The 24,436-nt window shown below is 42.0% G+C and overlaps 1 protein-coding gene across 2 annotated transcripts in view, besides 1 other annotated feature; it reads left to right on the top strand.

Moving 5' to 3' along the window:
• PRKDC (protein kinase, DNA-activated, catalytic subunit) overlaps positions 1–24,436 on the top strand; it is a 187,026-nt gene that overhangs the window by 85,616 nt on the left and 76,974 nt on the right. For both annotated transcript variants that reach the window (NM_001081640.2, NM_006904.7), the window contains exons 41-52: positions 9,758–9,965; positions 10,944–11,122; positions 11,980–12,148; positions 12,394–12,459; positions 13,550–13,622; positions 14,762–14,910; positions 15,535–15,672; positions 15,886–16,005; positions 17,222–17,365; positions 19,148–19,299; positions 20,307–20,438; positions 21,737–21,848. In NM_001081640.2, coding sequence (NP_001075109.1) covers positions 9,758–9,965; positions 10,944–11,122; positions 11,980–12,148; positions 12,394–12,459; positions 13,550–13,622; positions 14,762–14,910; positions 15,535–15,672; positions 15,886–16,005; positions 17,222–17,365; positions 19,148–19,299; positions 20,307–20,438; positions 21,737–21,848 — 1,642 coding nt within the window. The remainder of the gene's footprint in view (positions 1–9,757; positions 9,966–10,943; positions 11,123–11,979; positions 12,149–12,393; positions 12,460–13,549; positions 13,623–14,761; positions 14,911–15,534; positions 15,673–15,885; positions 16,006–17,221; positions 17,366–19,147; positions 19,300–20,306; positions 20,439–21,736; positions 21,849–24,436) is intronic.
• Positions 16,172–16,671: an enhancer, noted in NCBI's record as "H3K4me1 hESC enhancer chr8:48770411-48770910 (GRCh37/hg19 assembly coordinates)". NCBI's record gives its function as "activates a minimal SCP1, AML or CMV promoter by ChIP-STARR-seq in primed H9 embryonic stem cells {active_cell/tissue: H9 hESC(primed)}" and the evidence as "EXISTENCE:reporter gene assay evidence [ECO:0000049][PMID:30033119]".

The raw sequence follows: 24,436 nt of genomic DNA, 5'->3' as shown, positions 1-24,436 counted from the left end.
CGCCCAAAGTGTTAGGATTACAGGCGTGAGCCACAGTGCTCGGCCCAGATATGTAATATATTTTTGTTTTTGTTGGTACATAGGTGCATATATTTATGGGGTACATGAGATATTTTGATACATGTGTATAATGTGTAATAATCACACTTTGATACAGGTGTATAATGTGTAATCAGGTCAGGGTGACTGAAGTATTCATCACCTCATTTATCCCTTCTTTGCATGAGAAATAATCCAGTTATACTCTTAATTATTTAAAAATGTAAAATATTGGCTAGGCGCAGTGGCTCATGCCTGTAATCCCAGCACTTTGGGAGGCCAAGGCGGGCAGATCATAAGGTCAGGAGATCGAGACCATCCTGGCTAACAAGGTGAAACCCTGTCTCTACTAAAAATACAAAAAAAAAAAATTAGCCGGGCGTGGTGGTGGGCGCCTGTAGTCCCAGCTACCCGGGAGGCTGAGGCAGGAGAATGACGTGAACCCGGGAGGCAGGTGACTGAGCGAGACTCCGTCTCAAAAAAAAAAAAAAAAAAAATAGCAAAATACCATTGACTGTAATCACCCTATTCTGCCATCAAATACTAGATCTTATTTATTCTATCTAACCATGTTTTTGTACCCATTAACTATCCCCATTTCCCCCTCCCTCTTACCCTTTCCAGCCTCTGGTAACCGTCTTTCTATTCTCTATCTCCATGAGTTCAATTGTTTTAATGATTTTTGGATGCCACAAGTAAGTGAGAACGCGCAAAGATTGTCTTTCTGTGCCTTACTTATTTCACATAAGATACTGATTTCCAGTTCCATTCACGTTTTTCCAAATGACAGTATCTCATTCCTTTTTGATGGCTGGATAGTACTCCACTGTGTATATTTTCTTTATCCATTTGTCTGTTGATGGACACATACGTTGCTTCCAAGTTTTGGCTGTTGTGAACAGTGCTGCAGTAAACATGGGAGTGCAAGTACCTCTTCGATATACTGATTTCCTTTCTTCACCCAGGCTGGAGTGCAGTGGCATGATCTCGGCTCACTGCAACCTCTGCCTCCCAGGTGCAAGTAATTCTTCTGTCTCAGCTTCCCTCCCGAGTAGCTGGGGTTACAGATGAGTGCCACCTTGCCCAGCTCATTTTTTTTGTATGTTTAGTAGAGATGGGTTTTCACCATGTTGGCCAGGCTTATCTTGAACTCCAGACCTCAGGTGATCCACCCGCTTTGGCCTCCCAAAGTGCTGGGATTACAGGCTTGAGCCAACTCGCTTGGCCTATTTTTTTTTTTTTTTTTTTTTTTTTGAGATGGAGTCTTGCTGTGTCACCCAGGCTGTGTGTATACCTAACAGTGAGATTGCTGGATCATATGGAAGTTCTATTTTTAGTTTTTTCAGCAACCTCCATGCTGTTCTCCATACTGGCTGTACAATTTATATCCTTTGTCCACATTATTTCAGTTTTTTGGAATGTATTAAGACTTGTTTTGTGGCCTAACATATGCTCTATCCTTGAGAATGATCCATGTGCCTATCAGGGTAATGTGTTTTCTGCAGCCATTGAGTCAGATGTTCTGTAAACATCTGTAAGGTTCATTTAGTCTGTAGTGCTGATTGAGTATGATGTTTCTTTGTTGACTGATTTTCTGTTTGGAAGATCTGTCCAATCCTGAAGGCGGGGTGTTGAAGTCTTCAGCTGTTGTTGCATTATGGTCTGTCTCACCCCTTTAGCTCTAATATTTGATTTATATATCTGAGTGCTGCAGTGACCGGTGCATATATATTTACAATTGTTATATCCTCTTGCTGAATTGACCCCTTAATCATTATATAATGACTTCAAAAATCCCTTTTTATACTTTTTGTCTTGAAATCTATTTTGTCTGATGTAAGTACAGCTACTCCTGCTCTGTTTTGGTTTCCATTGGCATGAAATATCTTTTTTCATCCCTTTATTTTCAATCTGTGTGGATGTTTATAGGTGAAGTGTGTTTCTTGCAGGCAACAGATCATTTTTTTTTTTTTTTTTTTTACTTTTTTATATCAGTTTAGCCACTTTATTTTTATTGGACAGTTCAATCCATTTACATTCAATGTTGTTGTTGATAAGTGTGGACTTCTACCATTTGTTATTTGTTTTCTGGTCATTTTGTGGTCTTTCCTCCTTGCTTCCCTTCCTGTCTTCCTTTTAGTGAAGGTTATTTTCTCGGGTCATATGTTTTAATTTCTAGCTTTTTATTTTTGTGTGTTTGTTGTATGTTATTTTTGATTTGAGGTTACCGTGAGGCTTGCAAATGATATAACTCATTTTAAACTGCTGACAGCGGAACACTGATTGGATAAACAAACACATGAGCAAGAGAAAAAACTAATAAAAATTATACACTTTAATCTCATCTTCCGCTTTTTAAACGTTTTGCTGTTTCAAGTTATACCTTATTACACTGTCTATATCTGGAAAAGTTATTATTTTTGATAAATTTATCTTTTTAGTCTTTCTACTCAAAATATAAGTAGTTTACATACCACAATTACAGTGTTACAATATTCTATGGTTTTCTTTGTACTTATTAGTGAGTTTTATACTTCAGGTGATTTCTTATTGCTCATTAATGTCCTTTTCTTTCATATTAAAGAACTCCTGGCCAGGCGTGGTGGCTCACGCCTGTAATCCCAGCACTTTGGGAGGCCGAGGCTGGTGGATCTCCTGAGGTCAGGAGTTTGAGACCAACCTGGTCAACATGATGAAACCCTGTCTCTACTAAAAATAAGCCAGGCGTGGTGGCGGGTGCCTGTAATCTCAGCTACTCAGAAGGCTGAGGCAGGAGAATCGCTTGAACCCTGGAGGTGGAGGTCGCAGTGAGCTAAGATCGTGCCACTGCACTCCAGCCTGGGCAAGAAGAGCGAAACTCCATCTTAAAAAAACAAAAACAACAACAACAAAAAAAACTCCTTTTATCATTTCTTGTAGCATTTATCTTGTGGTATTGATAAAATCCTTTAGCTTATGTTTTCTGGGAAAGTCTTCATGCTTGAAGGATATTTTTATTGGATATACTGTTCTAGGAAAAAATGTTTTTCCTTCAACATCTTCAATATGTCATACCACTCTGTCTTCGCCTGTAAAGTTTCCACCCATAAGTCTGCTACCAAATGTATTGGCACTCCTTTGTATGTTACTTGTTTCTTTCCCCTTGCTTCTCTTGGGATCCTTTCTTTATTCTTGACTTCTGGGTGATTGCTTGTTAAATGCCTTGAGGTAGTTTTATTTGGGTTAAATCTGCTTGGTGCTCTATAACCTTCTTATACTTGAATATTGCTATCTTTCTCAATAGGTTTGGAAAGTTCTCTGTTATTATCCCTTTGAAAAAACTTTCTACCCCTGTCTCCCGCTACCTTTTCTTTAAGACCAGTAAGTCTTTGATTTGCCCTTTTGAGGCTCTTTTCTAGATCTTGTAGGTATGCTTCATTGTTTTTTATTCTGTTTTCTTTTGTCCCCTCTGTGTATTTTCAAATAGCCTGCCTACATGTTCATTAATTCTTTCTTCTGCTTAATCAGTCCTGCTTTTAAGAGACTCCAGTGCATTCTTCAGTATGTCATCTGCATTTTTCAGATTGATAATTTCTGCTTGATTCTTTTTAATTTTTTCAATCTCTTTGTTTAATTTATCTGATAAGATTCTGGATTCCTTTTCTGTATTATGTTGAATTTTGTTGGCCTTCCTCAAAACAGCTATTTTGAATTCTCTGTCTGAAAGGTGACATATCTCTGTCTCTCTTGGATTGGTGTTGGTGCATTATTTAGTTGATTTGGTGAAGTCATGTTTTCTTGGCTGGTTTTGATGGTTGTGGATGTTCATTGATATCAGGGCATTAAAGATTTTAGGTATTTATTGTAGTCTTCTGGGCTTGTTTATATACTTCCTTCTTGGGAAGACTTTCCAGGTATTTGTAGGTACTTGGGGGTATGATCTAAGTCTTTGGTCACTGAAGCCATGTCTGCTTTAGGGGCCACCCTAAGTCCTAATCTGCTGTAGGAGGCACCCCAAACCCAGTAGCACTGTGGTTCTTACAGACTTATAGAGGTACCACCTTAGTGGTCTTGGTACAATCTTGGAAAATTCCCTGGATTACCAGGCAGAGACTCTTGTTTCCTTTACTTACTTTTCTCAAACAAATGGAGTCTCTCTGTCTGTGCTGATTACCTGTAGCTGGGGGAACGGTAATATGAGCACCTCTGTAGCCACCACCATTGGGACTGCATGAGGTCAGACCTGAAGCACAGCACAGCACAGCACTGGGTCTCACTGAAGGCCTTCAGTGACCACTGCCTGGCTACTGCCTGTGTTCATTCAAGGCCCAGTGGCTGTACAATCAGCAGGAGGCAAATCTAGCCAGTCTTGTGTTCTTTCCTTCAAGACAGTGATTTCTCCCTGGCTCCAGGTGGGTCAAGAGATGCCATCTATGAGCCAGGCCTAGAGTTGGGAACTGTAGGAATTTACCTGGTGCTCTATTCCACTGCAGTTGAGCTGGCAGCCAAGCTGCAAAACAAAGTCCTTTTCATTCTTCCCTCTCCTTTCCTAAAATAAAGAAGTCTCTGCCTGTGGTCACCATTGCCCCAGGCCTGCAGTGAGGACTGCCTGGCTACTGCTGATTTTCACTCAAGGCTCAAGGGCTCTGTAGTCAGCTTGTGGTGAATGCTGCCAGTCCTGAGTTTCTCCCTTCAGGGTAGTGGGCTCCCCTCTGGCCCAGGGCAGGTCCAGAAATCCTAAGAGCCAAGGCCTAGAACTGGGGACCTCAGAAGCCCGCTTGGGATGTTGCCCCTCTGTGGCCAAGCTGGTGCCCATGTTGCAAGGCATGAAACATTATGCAAGTCTCCTTTACTCTTACTTCTCCTTCTCTCAAGCAGAAATGGTTTCTCCCTGTGGCCACCACAACTGGGAATGTGCTGGGTCACACTCGAAGCCAGCGTGGCCCTGGGTCTTAACCAAGGCCCACGGCAAGTACTACCTGGTTAGCACTGATAATTCGTCACCCAAAGGCTCTTTAGTCAGTAGGTGATGAATCCCATCAGACTGAGCCCTTCCCTTCAAGGCAGCAGGTTCCCTTCTGGCCCAGAGTGTGTCTAAAAATGTCGTCTGGGAGCCAGGACCTGGAGTGAGGGACTCAGGATTCTCCCTGGTGCCCTGTTCTGCTGTGGCTGAGCTGGTATCCCAGTTGCAAGACAAAGTCCTCTTTACTCTCCCCTTCCTGTCCTCAAGCAGAAGAAAGGAATCACTTTTATTACTGCAAGCTGTACTACTTGGGTTTGGGGAGGCATGGCCAAGCACTCCCATAGTGGCCACAGCTGGTATCTCAGGTTATGTGCCCCCCAAGTCCACTTGTTCTGAGCCCAGCCCAGCACGAGGACTTGCCCAAGAATTGCAATTGTTGTCATCTTAGTTGCTTTTCAAGTTTGTTTGGGACCCCAAGGCACTTTAGCCCATGGTGGCAGGGCTTGCCAGAATGTAGTTTCTGACCACTGGGATGGACAGTTTGCTTCTGATTAGGGCTGGTCTAAATGTTCTCCCAGTGAGTGCTGGCTAAATTCTGCCCTGGGTTGGTTTCTGCTGTGACAGGACATCGCTGAGTTCCAATGCAAAGTGCCCCGTCACTGTGCTTTTCCTCCCCCAAGTGCACAGCTTCTGTGTCCTGCGTGCAATTGCTGCTGGGGGATGAGGAAGGAGTGGTGTAGCTGATTGAAGACTATCTTTCTTAGTTTCTTCAGTGCCTCTTTCCTTAATACGAAGTTAAAACCAGGTACAATGATCACTCACCTGATTTTTGGTTCTTATGAAAGTGCTTTTTTATACAGATAGTTGTTCATTTTGGCGTTCTGCGGGGGAGACAATCACTGGAGGCTTCTATTTAGCCTTCTTGGTCCACTCCTTCCATTGAATTTTATCATTCATTCATTCATTTATTATTTTTGAGATAAGGTCTTGCTCTATTGCCCATACTGGAGGGCAGTGGCATGATCATGGCTCACTGCAGCCTTGACTTCTGGGCTCAAGTGGTCTTCCTTCAGCCTGCCTAGTAGCTGGAACTACAGGCATGCTATCACGCCCAGCCTTTTTTCTTCTTTCTTTTTTTTTTTTTAAACGTAGAGAGGTTCTTCCTAAATTGCCTGGGCTGGTCTTGAACTCATAAGCTCAGATGATCCTTCTTTCTCAGCCTCCAAATTGCTGGGATTACAAGTGTGAGCCGCCATACCCGGAATTAAAATATTTAAAAAGAAATTGTACCAGTAGTTCATAAACCCTTCAGGATATAGAGGAGGAAGGAATACTTCCCAACTCCTTTTGTGAGGCGAGTAACAAGACCAACATAAGAGAAAGACAGCACAAGAAAACTATAGACCAGTAAGTATCCTTCATGAATATAAACACAAAAATTTTTAAAGATACATTAAGCTATTCAGCAACACCCACAAAACATTATACGCCATAACCTATTGGTGTTTATTGTAAGAATGAAAGGTTGCTTTTCTCTCTGGGAATCAGTTAGTCTTAGATACCATATAATAGAATAAAGGAAGAAAACTCATTATAATTTCAGTAGATGCAGGAAGACTTTTGACAAACTACAACATCCATTTGTGATAAAACTGACAAAGGCTGTCTATGAAAAACCAATAGCCAACAAAATATGTAATAGTGAAGGAGTGCATGCTTCCTCCTGAGATTGGGAACAAGGCCAGAGAGCCTGAAAAAATAAACAAAAATAAATAAAAGGCAACTAAATTTTTTACTATTAAAATTTTTTTCTTATTCTTTTTTCTGTTTTACAGGATTTTAATGTAACTTCTTTTCTTATTCCTTTACGCTGTGCATCTTGTTCTCTTTTCCTTTCTAATGTTTCCAGTGATAGTCTATAATTACTCAATGGCTTTACAATATGCACAAAATACTTTCAAAAATAACAATACCAGTATGATTACATAGAATAATGACAGCTAGATGAAGTTTAAATTTTTCATTTTAGCTATAATTTTCTTAGTACATGCCATCTAAGGATATACAGTCAAATTTTGTGTTCCAAAATCATTTGATGTAGTTTTTTCTTGATGTGTGGTTATTACACCAATTAGTAGTGCTTATTTAACTTTCAAATTTTAGAAATTTTGTTTTTTCTTTTGACTCAATTTTCATTTTGAACATGTATGATATTTACATGACTAAAATCAAAGCTATATAATGAGCTGCAATTCAGAGGATCTTCCTTCCATCTCGGGCCCTTCTCTTGTTCCTCTTTTGCCCCATCACCTTCCTATCTCTTCCACTTGTGTCTTGTACAGATCTCGCCCTATCAGCATATAGAAATCTTCCTCATTCTTTGTCTTAAAAAATTAGTGTTTAATTCTTCATTGCAAAGAAATATCATAGTATTTTAAAGTAGCCCTTTGCCAATGGACTTCTGGGTTCAATCTTTTGCTGTTAAACATAATGCCACAGGGAAGCCAGATGCAGTGGCTTACACCTGTAATCCCAGTGCTTTGGGAGGCTGAGGCAGGAGGATCACTTGAGCCCAGGAGTTTGAGACCAGCCTGAGCAACGTAGCAGAACCCCATCATTACAAAAAATATTTTAAAATAATAATAATAATGCTGTTGTGAATAGCCTTGTGTTTATATCATCTTGTATTTGCCCGTGTATCTTTGGGGTAGATTCCTAAATGCAGATGAAAAGGTAAGTACATTTGTAATTTTGCCAGGTATGTCTGTATTGCTTCTTTTGGGGCTGTATTATTTGCATTCCTCCCTTATTTGTAATATACTAGTGTATCTGTTTCACTACTGTCTGGCCAACATTGTGAAACATTCAGATTTTTTCCAATTTATAGGTGAGAAAGGGTTTCCCTTTGTTACCTTAATTTTTCTTTTATTATGAGTAAAGTCAGGCATATTTTTATATATTTAATTTGCATTTTTCAGTAAATCATCTGTGGGCCCATTTTTAACATTAGGTCTTTGCTCTTTTTATTTTGCTTCTCCTTACTATCTTAGCTTTTTAGGTAAGAGTCAGATGTTTTATGTGCATCTCTACTGTGCTTGCTAGTGGAAAGCTCCTCAAGAGAAAATGAGCCTAGGATGGTGCCTGTGTTATTCCTTTCAGGCTGCTATAGCAGAATAGCACAGAGTGGGTGGCCTATAAAACAACAGAAAAGTATTTCTCATGGTTCTGGAGGCTGGGAAGTCCAAGAACGTGCTGCCAGTTGATGGAGTGTCTAATGACAGCCCGCTTGCCTGCTTTATAGGCAGCACCTTCTCTCTGAGTCATCCATGGTAGAAGGGGCAAAGAACTCTCTAGGGCCTCTTTTTTTTTTTTTTTTTTTTTTTGCGACGGAGTTTCTCTATTGTTGCCCAGGCAGGAGTACAATGGTGTGATCTCAGCTCACTGCAACCTCTGCCTTCTGGGTTCAAGCAATTCTCCTGCCTCAGCCTCCTGAGTAGCTGGGTTTACAGGCATTTGCCACCATGCCTGGCTAATTTTTGTATTTTTAGTAGAGACGGGGTTTCGCCATGTTGGCCAGGCTGGTCTCAAACTCCTGACCTCAGGTGATCCACCCGCCTCGGCCTCCCGAAGTGCTGGGATTACAGGCATGAGCCACTGCACCCGGCCTCTGGGACCTCTTATATAAGGGCACTGATCACCTCCCAACAGCCTTACCTCCTAATACAATCACACCGGGGATCAGGGTTTCAACATAGGAATTTGGGGAGTCTTAAACATTCAGTCCATTATAGTACCCAAATAAACTTTGCAAATCCTGTATGGCATCTAGTAGTGTCCTATAGTCTTTTTATGACTGAGTTACTTTCTGAATCTAGTATTTTTGACCTGGTTATCTAACTTCATAGCATCAGAATTTTAATGGCCATTTAGTCTTAACCCTCTTATTTTTACAGATGAAGATACTAACTCTGCATTCTTAATTTATAGATTTATAGACAAAACTTTATAGGTGATTATTCAAATATATTATTTTCAGGTGAGAAAATAAAGGACCAGATAGACAGGTATATTTCTGTTTGGGAAATAGCAATGGTGGTTCACTGGTAGGGAGAAACTAGAATTTTAAAATCATAACTTCTGAATTTTTTTTTTTTTTTTGAGACGGAGTCTCACTCTGTTGCCAGGCTGGAGTGCAGTGGTGCGACGGCTCACTGCACCCTCTGCCTCCCATGTTCAAGTGTTTCTCCTGCCTCAGCCTCCAGAGTAGCTGGGACTAGAGGCGCACACCACCACGCCCAGCTAATTTTTGTATTCTTAGTAGAGACAGGGTTTCACCATATTGGCCAGGGTGGTCTCGATCTCCTGACCTCATGATCTGCCAGCCTCGGCCTCCCAAAGTGCTGGGATTACAGGCGTGAGCCACCACGCCCAGCCAACTTCTGAGTTTTATATCCTAGAAATGTGTCTATTTTTTAGGCTTGAGATTCTTCTAGAGCCTTCCAGATGTTCTTTAAGCAAGACCAGATTTGAAAGTAAATGAAACATTCTTCTTTTTAATGCCCATGTTTGATTTGAAGATTTTGGGGAGTGGATAAAAGTAGTATGGTTCATGTGCAAATGCTTTTTGTGTTTTGTGGATTTTGCATATATATAGTCCTTAAAGTTATTTTTGTAATTTGTAATCACTGGTGTTTACTTTGCCTGTTATGTAGTAGGCACTCATAAAGTTCCTCTTCAAAGCAGGGATGTTCATATAATTTTATCTTGTTTTCTTAGGGGTTCATGTGTCACACAAGTAGGCCTTCTGGAAAGCGTGTATGAAATGTTCAGGAAGGATGACCCCCGCCTAAGTTTCACACGCCAGTCCTTTGTGGACCGCTCCCTCCTCACTCTGCTGTGGCACTGTAGCCTGGATGCTTTGAGAGAATTCTTCAGCACAATTGTGGTGGATGCCATTGATGTGTTGAAGTCCAGGTTTACAAAGGTATCATACGCCTTAAATCAGTAATAAGAAGTGAGCAGCCTACTTGACTGGTGTGCCTAGACACTGCTGTGTGCTCAGTCACATGGCCTCTGCTGTTCAAGGAGTGTGCCACATAACAGTCTGTGGCTACATGGGATCTGCCTTTATTTCCTGTGGCTTCTGTAACAACTTAACGCAAATTTGGATATTCTCTTACACTTCTGGAGGCCAGAAGTCCAGAATCAGTTTCACTGGGCTGACATCACAGTGTTGTCAGGGCCACGCTCACTCTGGGAACTCAGGGAAGAGCTGTTCCTGGCGGTCCTAGGGGCTGCCAGCATTGCTTGGCTTGTGCTGGTTTCACCCTGGTCTCTTCCTCCCTGGTCACATTTCCATTTCCTGTCTATCTAATCTCCCTACACATCCTTCTTACAAGGTTGCCTGTGATTTCATTTATGGCCTACCCACCTGTACAATCCAAAATAATCTCCTCATCACAAGGCCCTTAACTAAATTTTGTCTACAAAGTCCTTTTTTGCCACATGAGGAGGTAGGTTTCAGGGATGAGGGCATCTTTTGGATACTTTTTGTGGGGCGAGGGCAGGATGTATCACTCAGCCTCCCTCGGAATCCTGTTGGGAAATACTATGAATACCCAGATGCTGCATTGTTAATGCAGACTTCAAAATAGCTGAGAATTTTGGATTTTCACCTGTTGTTCCCATGTCTTCAGTAAGATTTTGTGCAAACATTTTCTACCCTTGGCTCACTATTTGGATGTCACACATTATTTCCTGCTTCACCAGTGTAACATATCAATGCTTATATTCGTGTTCTAGACCTGGACAATTGCATGCTTTCTTATTGAAGTGATTTAGCATTTTTGACTGTTAAAATTCTGTCTGTCTAAAGGATATTAAGTATTAAATTTGATATATTCTATAAGATGTATTTCATGTTTAATAAGACCAAAGATAATTATTTTTTACCTTTTTGAAGCTAAATGAATCTACCTTTGATACTCAAATCACCAAGAAGATGGGCTACTATAAGATTCTAGACGTGATGTATTCTCGCCTTCCCAAAGATGATGTTCATGCTAAGGAATCAAAAATTAATCAAGTTTTCCATGGCTCGTGTATTACAGAAGGAAATGAACTTACAAAGACATTGATTAAGTAAGATTTTACTTAATTTTGGATTCTATTTTATTTATCAATGCTTTGGGTACATATATTTTTATGTATGTATATAGTGTGAATAAATATTTTATTTAGATACTGAGCTTTTATAGTTTTCTTCTTATAAACCACTTAGGTGAACTTTAATTAGGGCGTTAATTTAGGGTGTATTGGATAACAGTTGTTTTATCTTGTACTAATATTTTACAAATAATAAAACTTTTTCCTTTTACTGTTCTTTTCCTACTGTTTTTCCCCTTGAATAGCTTGATATATTTTTAGTGCTGTGATTTTCAGTAACAAAAGATTTAGAGTATTTTATTTTTTCTGAGATTTGAAATTAAAGGCATAGTAAATATTTTTTAACAGGCATTCTAAACAATACAAAAGTAATCAAATGTATTTTCTCTAAAACTTGTCTTTTAATGGAGTTCTCCTCCTAGTAAATATTGAACACAGACTTTTGCCGTATCACATTTTGCATCACCAAACAAATTCATTATTACCCTCCTCTTACTTGGTGCTGTCTTACCTCATCAGTGAATGATGTCACCGTTCAGTCATGACTAGGCTGTTGTCTGTCCTCCTTGCTTCCTTCCCTCTCTTTACTTACTGCACTTGATGCCGTTGCGTCACTGACCACTGTGTTGCAAGATCCATGTATATATGCTGCCTTTGCTGTGAGATGGATGACATGTTCCTTTTCATATTCCCAGTGCCTAATACTCTGCCTGGCACAAGCCTGACCCTCGAGAAAGGCTGAATGGCATTAGGTCCTGTTGTCTGGCATTGTTGGGCTTGAGCAGTGATTGCCATGTTGTGTGAATTGATTTGTCACATGGATCTCTCTGCAGATTGTGCTACGATGCATTTACAGAGAACATGGCAGGAGAGAATCAGCTGCTGGAGAGGAGAAGACTTTACCATTGTGCAGCATACAACTGCGCCATATCTGTCATCTGCTGTGTCTTCAATGAGTTAAAATTTTACCAAGGTTTTCTGTTTAGTGAAAAACCAGAAAAGGTAGGCCACTCCTACGGTGTGCACTATTGTTATTGTAGGAGTTCAAAAGTTAGATTATATCAGTCAAACTTACAGATAATTTATACCATCTTATATTAAAGATGTGGTTCGTTTAATTCTGCATAGGTATATTTAAAGCTGGAGTGCTTTTCCATGAGCTATTACATAGCATTAATTCTAAAGTAACATCGATTATGAGGATCTTCACCATTCAGCTATTTTTATATGATTCTTTGTATTCACAGAACTTGCTTATTTTTGAAAATCTGATCGACCTGAAGCGCCGCTATAATTTTCCTGTAGAAGTTGAGGTGAGTGAAATTTTCAATGTTAAAAAAAACTTATCAAGTGCTCACAAAGAAAACCATATTATGTCAAACACGTTAAGTTGCCAATATTCAAGTCGGCTTTCAACAAAAACTGGTGGTTTCATGTGGTTTCTATAAAATCTGGCAATTGTAGCTTCAGATACAATCTCAGGCAACTACAAAATTTGTCAGAACTTGATTTCATCTCTTGACATGTGTAGGAAAGACGGTGCCAGTAAAAGGAAGTGTTAGGACATATCCCAGAAGTTGTTTTCTAAGTGAATTGCTCCAGTCAAAGAAGTTGAGATCCTTACAGTGGCCTTGCTTGGGCAACGTGGCAGGATCATGGAAAAGTCATGGGTTAACTGGAAGACTTGCTCTGGCAGATGGGACAAGGTTTGTTTTAGCCAAGCTCAGATTGACATGCCAGCCTCAGCAGTTGGGCAGTTGGTGAGAATGTGGTGGTTGCTGCCTTCAGCACCCATTGGAAATGGGAAGGTGGGCAGAGAGCTGAGCTCATCCACCATGGCGTGCACTTTCCCCACACAGCTGCTGACCTCTACCATGTCTTAGTGCTTCACCACTACATGTGAATGCTGATCCTGCCTTGTACTTCTTCTGAACAAGACTAGGATTGTTTTCTAGGCATATGTTCAAAGAACTAAAAAACAACAAAATTAGCACCAGTTTATTAAGCGTGTAGACACATGCTGTATGTTACTTCTATATTTTACAACAATTACAAGCACTATGATATATCATAACTAGATTTGAATAAATTGAGGTTCAGAGATAAATAGAATTTATCAGCAGTCCAGGCATAAGAGTTTGGTACACACTGTACGCAGTGAGCTGTACCAGAGCTGAGATGGAGGTTAAGTGCCTGGGCCGAGTTCTGTGGGAATCTGCAGGAAGGGCTTTCCTTAAGGGACACTCACTAGTCTCTTTTTGAGGTTATTTTTGAGTGCTTTTAAATTTGTTTTGTTTTGTTTAAAAATTTATAATTTTTTTTTTGCCAGATTGCTACTAAAACAGAAAAAGTATCACTATTATTATAAAATGTTTTACATTGTTTATTTGTTCTTCCCAATAGGTTCCTATGGAAAGAAAGAAAAAGTACATTGAAATTAGGAAAGAAGCCAGAGAAGCAGCAAATGGGGATTCAGGTAGGATGTTTTCAAAATCATGAGAAAGGATTCAAATCGATGGGTTATTTTGTTTTGTTTTGTTCTAAGACAAATAGAGGAGTAAAGTATTTTTTATGTAAATAGAAAATACTTTAAGTACCCTAAAACATTGAAATTGACTTTGAAAAAGTATTTTAAGTGGCAAATGGAATTATATTTTGAAAGAAATGTACTTAGCTAAACTTAGCTGCATAGAAAGGTCTCAGAGTGGCCAGACGGGGTTCAGATATGTTACACTTTTTTAAAAATACAAAATTAGCTTGGTGTCTTATTGTTTGCATATGGATTGTGTTTGTATGTTGTTTAGATACATTCAGAAGTCTACATTAGAATACAAGTCCTTTCGAGCCACTCTTCTGTGCCCAGCCTCACTGTGGGTTCCCATCTCCGGCAGGACAGAGCTGCTCAAGGCCCCTGACCTGCCGACTCCCTCCCCTGCAGCCCTTCTTACTGCTCACTCCAGCATATGGCTCTTGCCTGTGCCTTGTAGGCGCCAGGCCTGCTTTTGCCCTAGGTCGTGTGCACTTGCAGTTTCCTCTAATACCCTCAACCCCAGGTATTAGCATACCTCATGACATTTTGTTTAATGTCAACCCCTGAAGTAGACTCTTCCTGGCCTCCCTATTTAAAATTAGTCCACTATCCCTCTATATGCTCCTTGTTTTTGTTTTTTGCTTAATTTTTCCTTATAGCTTTATCATCATTTCTTGATATGAGAATAAAATTTGGACCAGTTTTCTAAATCTCTTAGGTGTTTTGGATTAGCTGCTTTTCAGTGGTATTTCTTCCCACATTTTTGTTAGACTTAATGGGCAAAATGTACATCATCAAAATTTTAAATGCAAAGAAAATGTGTTAATCATATGCAAAATTGGACCAGTATAACAATTTCCTTGTCTATGACAGAATAACTGCTTGATAACAACAAAAAGAAAATGAGGTCTTTTCCCCATTTCTTTTTTGCTTTCTTAATCTGGATAATAGGTTAATAATCACTGGCTTGATGAAAACCTTAGATTAAAATGTGCTTTAATTTTCATATCATTTGAATTTAGAGAAATACATTTCTTACTAATTATGTTTGAATACATGTAATTTTCTCCTTTTTTATATTTCAGATGGTCCTTCCTATATGTCTTCCCTGTCATATTTGGCAGACAGTACCCTGAGTGAGGAAATGAGTCAATTTGATTTCTCAACCGGAGTTCAGAGCTATTCATACAGCTCCCAAGACCCTAGACCTGCCACTGGTCGTTTTCGGAGACGGGTGATCACATTTCACATACTAAAAGAATATTGTCGATGTTTGTGAAGAAAGGGGGTCACAGCTATGCCTTGCTGTTACTACAGGAAGCCAGTTCTCTGTCCATTGACAACCCTCGGAGTATAGAGTTAATTTGGAGAATTTTCCAAGATCTAATTCCTAGCCTTTTATTCTGTAGACTCAGCAGTCAGATATCATCAGCACAGTAGGAGGTCAGAGGTCAACATAGCAAAGATGCTCTGACCTGAGGTGCACTCCCGGGGAGTCACCATACAGACGGTTCAGGGGGTCACATAGCAGAGACATCTGACCTGAGGAGCCACCCTGAGGAGTGACCATAGATGGGGGTCAGGGGTCAGTGTAACAGAGACATCTGACCTCAGGAGCCACCCTGTGGAATGACTGGGCAGACGGGACGGGGACTATGTACTTGGGATGCAAGGAAGACATGAAATCCTTCTTATCTGTTAATTGTACAGTGAGTGTATTTGATATTATTACCAGATTATCATTATTACCTAAGTGTTTGTTATATGCTGTTGCCCCAGAAAGAGCCTCCCACATCCACTGCCTTGTCCACTGAATGTTAACTGTACCCTCTGCTCTCCTGGGCCCTCCCTTTCGCAGGAGCAGCGGGACCCCACGGTGCATGATGATGTGCTGGAGCTGGAGATGGACGAGCTCAATCGGCATGAGTGCATGGCGCCCCTGACGGCCCTGGTCAAGCACATGCACAGAAGCCTGGGCCCGCCTCAAGGAGAAGAGGTGCTTTTCCCACTCATCTTACCTGTTAATACTATATTCATTGGTGTCATACTGAGAATGAACATTTAATATTGAAAACAAAACCAAACTGCTTATCAAATAAATGTGATTTTTTTTTGTTCATGTCTTACTTTGTCCTTGTTTTCCCATAATATCAAAATGTATCATTATTTTATTCCACGTTTTAAGGTAATTTTGAATGTTTTATTTTAGGATTCAGTGCCAAGAGATCTTCCTTCTTGGATGAAATTCCTCCATGGCAAACTGGGAAATCCAATAGTACCATTAAATATCCGTCTCTTCTTAGCCAAGCTTGTTATTAATACAGAAGAGGTAAGTAATTGATTATTTCTTTATTCTTTGAATAGATTCTGTAAGTCTGTTTATTCAATTCTATGAATGAATCAATTGCAATTCTATGAATATACTTAAAAACACACACAAAAAAGGAAAATATAAAGGGGCAGAGCATGACATTTTTGTTCTCTGATTAGCCACCCAATATTTATCTACTTGTTCATCACCATTCTTTTATCGTTTTTAACATATGTAAATTCACCTCTCGTGAGTTAGAAGTGGTCTTTGTATAAAGTACATGTAGCTGCTTTCTTACGGCTGCCAACGTTCTTTCCTTATAGTAGGAAAAAAAAAAGCGGGGGGTGGAGCGGGGGAGAAAATATTCCTGTTAACTCTATATGAAAAACAGCGGACTCTTAGGCAATTGCTGAGTTCGTGAGGTAGGAGCATCTTGGAGTCCATTTTGGAAAGGCCTTTGAGCTAGACGTGGTGAAGTGCAGTGAGAGTTTGCACTAGGCAGGGAAGGAGTAGCATAGCACGGGTGGTCCCTGGGTGAGCCAAGCAGGTCTGCACTGACTGCCTGGGCTGTGGGAGTGTGGTCTGGACCAGAGCCAGGCCAGGCCATCCAGAGCTATGCAGAGGGTTGGGCTCATTCATTGAGCACCAGGGAACCACTAAGGGCACTAAGTGGTGGGGTGACACCATCCACTTGGCTCCGTAGAAGGTCATTCTGGGCAGCTCTGCAGACATGGCGAGTCTGTCAGGACATCCCTGACAGGCTGCTCTAGGGCTGCAGCAGCACCTTCTTTCCTCGGGGCTCACTTGATTCTTCACACCCTGGGCACATGGTCTCAGGGTGCCATACTGGGGGGACTCAGACAGCCGTGGCCTGAGATCAAGCTGCTGGCAGGGTTGGTTCCTTCGAGAGCTATGAGAGAGCCTGGTCCAGGCTACTCCTAGCATCCGGCAGCCTCAAGCACTATGTGGTGTGTCACAGGCATTCTCCCTGTGTCTTCACCTCATCTTCCCCCTTGTATCTGTCTCTGTGTCCTGATTTCCTCTTTTAATAAGGACACCAGTCATATTTGATTAGGGCCCACACTAATGCCTTCACTTTAACGTGCTTACCTCGCTTTTGGCTTTAGGTCCAGTCATAGTATAAAATTTTAGCTGATGGAAGATACAGTCTTGTATTAATATTTTGGCAATTTAAGACCATTCTTTGATGTTTGACTTTTACATCCTCTTGTAGGTCTTTCGCCCTTACGCGAAGCACTGGCTTAGCCCCTTGCTGCAGCTGGCTGCTTCTGAAAACAATGGAGGAGAAGGAATTCACTACATGGTGGTTGAGATAGTGGCCACTATTCTTTCATGGACAGGCTTGGCCACTCCAACAGTAAGGATTGATGCATCTTTTATGTTAATATATTATCCTTTGCCAATAGCCTATAGAGCCTATGACACATAATTCAGGTCCCTCTCACTGACTGTGCTATGGTTTTCAGCATTTGTTGCTACATTGCTGGTGTGCTCCTAAACCAAATGGCCTCAGCCTGCTTTGGTTTTGTTTTGTTTCCTTTGCCTTTGGTAATTCGTCTGACCTTGCTTTTATTATGAAGCTGTCAGGTGTTTGTTTTGTTTTGTTTGCTGCCTTTACTTGCCTTAGAAATGAGATTGCAAATTTATTAAAACTATGTGTAAACTGAATTTCAACCAACCCTGAATGGGAGGCTCTGAGGACTCCTGCCTTGAAGTCCCTGGATTTTGGCATTTGTGCCATCTTCTCTACTCCCAGAGTATTGACTAATACCAGCAATGGCAAGATTAGGGCTAAAGCAGTAGCTGCCAGATGATAACACCATGTTATGTTGAGGCAAATGCAGTACCCACCAGTGTAGACATGTGTGTGTGTGTTGGTGCTTTGCCTACTCATTTAAAACTGTGGACACTGACAGCATACAAACGTTTTCATGTGAGGAGATGGTAAGAACAGTCTGTATTAAATATAATATACACATGCGGGGCTAGGCATGATGGCTCACACCTGTAATCCCAGCACTTTGGGAGACCAAGGCAGGCAGATCACTTAAGGTCAGGAGTTTGAGACCAGCCTGGCCAACATGGTGAAACCTTATCTGTACTAAAAAAATGCAAAAATTAACTGGACATGGTGCTGCATGTCTATAATCCTAGCTATTCGGGAGGCTGAGGCAGGAGAATTGCTTAAACCCGGGAGGCGGAGGTTGTGGTGAGCTGAAATGGCACTACTGTAGCTCCAGCCTGGGCGACAGAGTGAGACTACGTTCCCCCAGCTCCACCACCACCCCCCCACCACAAAAAAATACGTGGAGCTTTCTCACACGCTTGTCTCTGGATGTACCTATCTCATTTGTTTCACAGTTAACCAAATTTAGATTTCTTTGTCTTAGTGTAATGAAATACTTTGTTTTCTGCTTAATAAAATGAAAAAATTAAGAGGGGTTCAGTTTAACAAGGGTCCGTTGAAAGAGATTGATGTAGCTGTCAGTGGCTCAGCTGAACTCAAGAGAGTGGAACTGCCGGGCTCGAGGTAGCTGAATAAAGCAACAGCAAGCCAGAAAGGTTGCCGTGAAGCTTTTACTCACTCTGGAGTCATGGGAGTGAGAGGCTAACACTGGAGGGAGACTCCCCTTGTTCTGTTTGCCCCTAGAGTGGTGCACTGCTCAGCAGCCAGATGGATTAGCACAGACAAGGGCCGTCTCACCATTGAGAGGCCCTGAACAGGAGGCTCTGCAGTTTTATAGGGAAGAGCTGAGTCAGAAAGCACTGGATACTGAGTCGGAGTGGGGAAAGCACCTTCATGCTGCTCCCCTGCCCTGCAGGCGACCCCTGTCCAGGGCCTCAGATAAAGAGTCCTAGGCATGGAGGCTCCAGGGAGGAAGGCAGAGGTGCATGCATGGGGCATGGTGGCTAGCAGCCTGCACCCTGGACGGCAACTCTGAGATTGCAGCGCCGGCGGTGCCTGGTCCTCTTGCCAGGTCAGCCTTTGTTGTTACCTGTTTCTGAAAAATCACAGGGCTTTCAACAGGAGCCGGACTCCTGTAAAATGCCAGATTTCTTTTATAAATGAACTTGAGTTAAAAAATGCTTTCCAGAATGGAATGCCGCATATTAATACAGAATTTCTGTACCTTTTCAGGGGGTCCCTAAAGATGAAGTGTTAGCAAATCGATTGCTTAATTTCCTAATGAAACATGTCTTTCATCCAAAAAGAGCTGTGTTTAGACACAACCTTGAAATTATAAAGACCCTTGTCGAGTGCTGGAAGGATTGTTTATCCATCCCTTATAGGTATGTTTACTGGTTTTTGCAGTATTGTTTAGAAATTTAGGTTAAAATGTAGTGTGTCGTAAATGATGATTACAGTGAAATTTAATTACATGAAATGATAGGAGGAAGAAAATAATTTATTGTTACTAATAAAACCACAGCCTCCAGAGTGTGGCACCAGATGCGTGTCTCGCACCCTCCAGTGGCCCTGCCCTCCGCCTCAGCTTGCCTCTGATGTCCCCACGCTGGGGAGGGGCACTACCTTCCGTTGGCCCATGGGGTAGAGGGTGGTGGGAGGTAGGTAGGATTTGTGCGTAATTCCTTTTTTTGTAGCCTGAGGCAAGCTAAAACTTCCAAAAAGTTTTGCTATCAACTAAGGGAGAATTTAGGCAAATAATTAAAATACGAGGGCGATAAAATTGCCAGTGTTACAAAGCTGGAGGAACCTGGATGTGAACAGGAGGTATTAGCAAGCAGGGATATTGGATATGGGAAAAGAAAAAGAAAGCATTTCTGTAAAGTCAAAGCTAGACCTGGGGAAGAAACAGAAATAAAGAAAAAGCATTTCTTACCCTGAAGATTAGCTTTAGAAAATTCTGTATTTGGCCGGGCACGGTGGCTCACGCCTTAATCCCGGCTCTTTGGGAGGCCGAGGCGGGCGGATTACGAGGTCAGGAGATCGAGACCATCCTGGCTAACACAGTGAAACCCCGTCTCTACTAAAAAAATACAAAAAATTAGCCAGGTGTGGTGGCGGGCGTCTGTAGTCCCAGCTGCTTGGGAGGCTGAGGCAGGAGAATGGCGTGAACCCAGGGGGCAGAGCTTGCAGCAAGCCGAGATCATGCCAACTGCACTCCAGCCTGGGCGACAAAGCGAGACTCCAAGACTCCGTCTCAGTCACGCCACTGCACTCCAGCCTGGGCGAGAGTCAGACTCTGTCTCAAAAAAATAAAATTCTGTATTTGTCTTCCTGCTTCTTACTTGATTATGCAACAGTCTCAATTTTCTCCTTTGTGCTTATGTTTCAGGTTAATATTTGAAAAGTTTTCCGGTAAAGATCCTAATTCTAAAGACAACTCAGTAGGGATTCAATTGCTAGGCATCGTGATGGCCAATGACCTGCCTCCCTATGACCCACAGTGTGGCATCCAGAGTAGCGAGTACGTGTTTGCTTGATTATTTTTTAGGTCACGTCTACCCAAACTGGATTGACAGACTTCAGTATGGTGCAGTTTTGATAATTTTAAGGACCAGACCCATGCTACAAATGTTTCTGGGCCAGGCACGGTGGCTCATGCCTGTAATTCTAACACGTTTGAGAGGCCAAGGCAGGAGGATTGCTTGAGTCCAGGAGTTCAAGACCAGCCTGGACAGCATAGCAAGACCGCATCTATACCAAAAAAATTCTTGTCTGCCTAAATTTAGGAAGATGGATTTAGATTTTTTTGGAAGAAATGTTTGGGGCAAATGAGAAATGTAGGTGTTTAAAACAGTGTGATTTTTTCATATCCATGCTGGAAGGTGAGAGGTGTTAAGTATTTCTTATTTTCTAAACTGATATTCTGAACATTTATCCCCAAAAGTAATGCAGGCCCCTCGGAAGGCTTTGTTCTGGGCTCTCTGACGGTGAGGGCTGGTAGACGCTGGGCTGCACCATCCCGCCTGGGAGCTAGGGCAGCTGGGTGTGACATGTCAAGACAAGAGGCCTCAGAAAGATGGTTCCGGGACATCATAAAAGGAGCAGGACATCTTTGTCCTGCTCCTGAGGGTTGTGAAGTCAGTGTTGATTCCTGGCCACTCCCTGGGTTTCCGCCTGCCCTGCCCAATCACTCTCTCTGTTTGGTCCTCCGTGTTGGCCCCCCAGCACCGTCGGACCAGTTACTGGTGCCAGAGATGACACATGACCTCAGGGCTGAGGCAGCCAGCTTCGCGGCAGCCTCAGTGGGAACTCGGCTCCTTTTAGACAGTCACTGGCTGGGGCTTTGGCTTCTACACTGGGATAACCTTGCAGAGTCCCCTGAGTGCTGACAGTGAATGGGTGGCTCCCTGGGAAGCCTCCTCACACAGACGGCACTGGGAGTATGCTCTTTCTCATTTTATTGTCCTTGTCCTGCTATAGTAGGTGGGTTTTGAAAGGGAGTCAGTGTCCCGTGATCTTGGATAGTAGCTCTTTCTGTCACTGCACCTTTCTGTCTGTTCAGCCTTGTGGGATGGTCCAGCTGCAGCGGTTCTGCATGATGGGACAGCAGACTGCCCTATGCTTTTCTGGTTATGACATCGGGCACCCTTACGTACATGCTGATGTGTGCATTTGTGCATGGAATTTGCATCACATTCTATATTTAGATTTCCTCAACTTAGGCTGTCAATATGACATGAGAAGGAAAATTGTCATTTATATTTGTGGAACAACAGAATGGTTTATTTGATGCATATGTCTTTTCTGTGTTTATTGTAGATACTTCCAGGCTTTGGTGAATAATATGTCCTTTGTAAGATATAAAGAAGTGTATGCCGCTGCAGCAGAAGTTCTAGGACTTATACTTCGATATGTTATGGAGAGAAAAAACGTGAGTGTGCTACACAATTTTCAATAAATACCTCTTACTCTGTTTTGATTTGTTATGACCCTTGATACTTATATGTTTATTTCTTGTATGGTATTAGAAACAAAATGGGCATCTGCATTTATTAAAATTTTACTGTTTCTTACTATAATATAGCAAATATAATACTCAGTTTTTTAGAGAGGGCACATGATTTTTAAACACCTTGGAAACTTGGTGAACGTGGAGAGATCAGCAACCGACTTGGTAATGTAAAATCAGGATGAGAGTATTTAACCAGCTTTTATTACTATGAACTTGGTCTCAGGATTTCCTTGTGGAGGAAATTGTCCTGGTAGATAGCTGCTGTCCTCCCCCAGTCCATTCCTCCCCTTGCAGTTTTTGGTGTAGCTGTTGAACAGGGGCAGGGATCTCCCAGGCGACCCTCTCAGTACTGCTGCCTTGCCCACTGGACAGGACTGTGAGATGAGCCTAACTGAACGTTTAAGTGCAGTGCGCTGTTCAGATAAGAGGACTGAATGAAGAAGTAACATGTTCTTTATTGTTTTAAAGTCTTTTTAGAGCTGGGTTCTTGCTCTGTCACCTGGGCTGGAGTGCAGTGGTGTAATCATAGCACACTGCAGCCTTGCACTCCTGGGCTCAAGCCATCCTCCCACCTTAGCCTCCCGAGTAGCTGGGACTACAGGCATATGCCACCATGCTTGGCTAATTTTTGTATTTTTTGTAGAAACAAGGTTTCGCCATGTTGCCCAAGCAGGGTGGTGGGTTTCAGGTTCATCACTGGGATAAGGTGCTCTGTGGATCCCTGGGGATCTTGCTGCTGCAGAGCCTGTCTGGGTGGCCCAGCTGGTCACACCCTGAGGACACTCTTGGCTCCCGTCCTCCTCCTGTGGCAGCCCCCTCTCCCTTTCGTCAGCTGCATTTCCCTGAACACCTCCACAGCTCGGCTTTGGCCTCACTCACTGCTCCCCTGCCCGCCTCGTCCAGCCTCATGGCTTTATGTAGACTGCCTTTATGTTCATGATTCTCCAGTTTGCAACCCCAGCTCAGTTACTCTCCTGAAAGAAAGGACAGAGTAGAGTCCAGGCCATAGTCACTGTTGGGCTGGATGAGGAGAGGCTCAGGAGAAGCCAGGTGGTCCTGAGCAGGCACCAGTGGGCCCAGTGCTGTGATTGGACCCTTGTCCATGTCACCAAGTATGGATTTGTTTGGATTTAAAATAAAATTAAGATGACCCCTTTGGGAAGATCAAATATTACTTGTAATTCATTTTAGGGATTATCAGCTATTTTTGTAAATAAACAGATTTTTAAAATTCAGTAGAACTTTTTTACAAGATGATTCTAACATCCCTAAATATGAGGTTTAAATCTACATAATATGTTTCATTTCCACCATAAATGGAGCAGGTTACAGCAGATCCCCAGGTTTAATCTCTCATGACTTAAATTTCAACTTAAGAATAAAAAACACTTCTGTTTTACGTATTTTTTTCTGAATATAAAAGTGATACGGATTTATCGTAGAAATTTGGAAAGCAGAGTAAACATAAAGAAGTTGGTAAGAGGCCGGGTGCTGTGGCTCATGCCTATAATCCCGGCACTTTGGGAGGCCAAGGCAGGCAGATCACTTGAGGTCAGGAGTTCAAGACCAGCCTGGCCAACATAGTGAAACCCTGCCTCCACAAAAAATACAAAAATTAGCTGGGCATGGTGGCACACTCCCATAATCCCAGCTACTCGGGAGGCTGAAGCAGGAGAATCCCTTGAACCTGGGAGGCAGAGGTTGGAGTGAGCTGAGATCACACCACTGCACTCCAGCCTGGGCGACAGAGTGAGACTCCATCTCAAAAAAAATAAAAAGAAGTCAGTAAGAGAGGCTCGCACTCTTCCCACGCAATGTCCCTCAGCACCTGTGGCACACAGCTCCACTGTTCTTGGTCTCTGTTATTCATACTGTTTTATAACTTGCTTTCTTTACTTGCTAGATTGTGATCATTTCATTGTGTTGTCGTATTAAATACTTTTAATAAAAAGACATCTGATTAATTGGTAGGGTAATACTATGTGTATTCTATATGGGGTTCAGGCCGTTGAAATTTGTGGTTTTGTGTTAAGGGTTTTCCTTAAGATAATTTAAAAATAGCCTCATACTACAGATTCGGTATCTCTATTCCAAAATGCTTGGGACCAGGAGTGTTTCCATTTTCTGGTTTTGCAATATTTTCATGATAGTTTCTGTTTGAGCATCCCTAATTCAAAAATTCAAAATTCAAATGCTCCAGTGAACGTTTTGTTGAGTGTCATGCTGAGGCTCAAAACGTTTTGCATTTTGGAGGATTCTGGATTTTCAGATTTGAGGCGCTCAGTCTGTGTTGAGTTTGCATTGAAAAACTGTTCGGTCTGTGTGCCTTTGAAACGTTGCCTACCCCTCTTTCTGATGTTTGTGAGGAAGGAGGTGAGCCAGGAAGGACAGCAGTGTTTTCCGTTGCTTCCTGCCAGTGGACTCTACTGAGTACTTCTCTGTGTGGAGGACATTTGAGGACTTCCTGGTTCTAGGGATGCAGTAGGGAACAGGACAGGTCATGTCCC

The sequence above is a fragment of the Homo sapiens genome, chromosome 8, assembly GCF_000001405.40.
Source record: "Homo sapiens chromosome 8, GRCh38.p14 Primary Assembly".
In the NCBI taxonomy this organism is placed as follows: Eukaryota; Metazoa; Chordata; class Mammalia; order Primates; family Hominidae; genus Homo; species Homo sapiens.
Note: the sequence above shows the minus strand (reverse complement) of the source record. Positions and strands in the feature narration are given on the sequence as shown.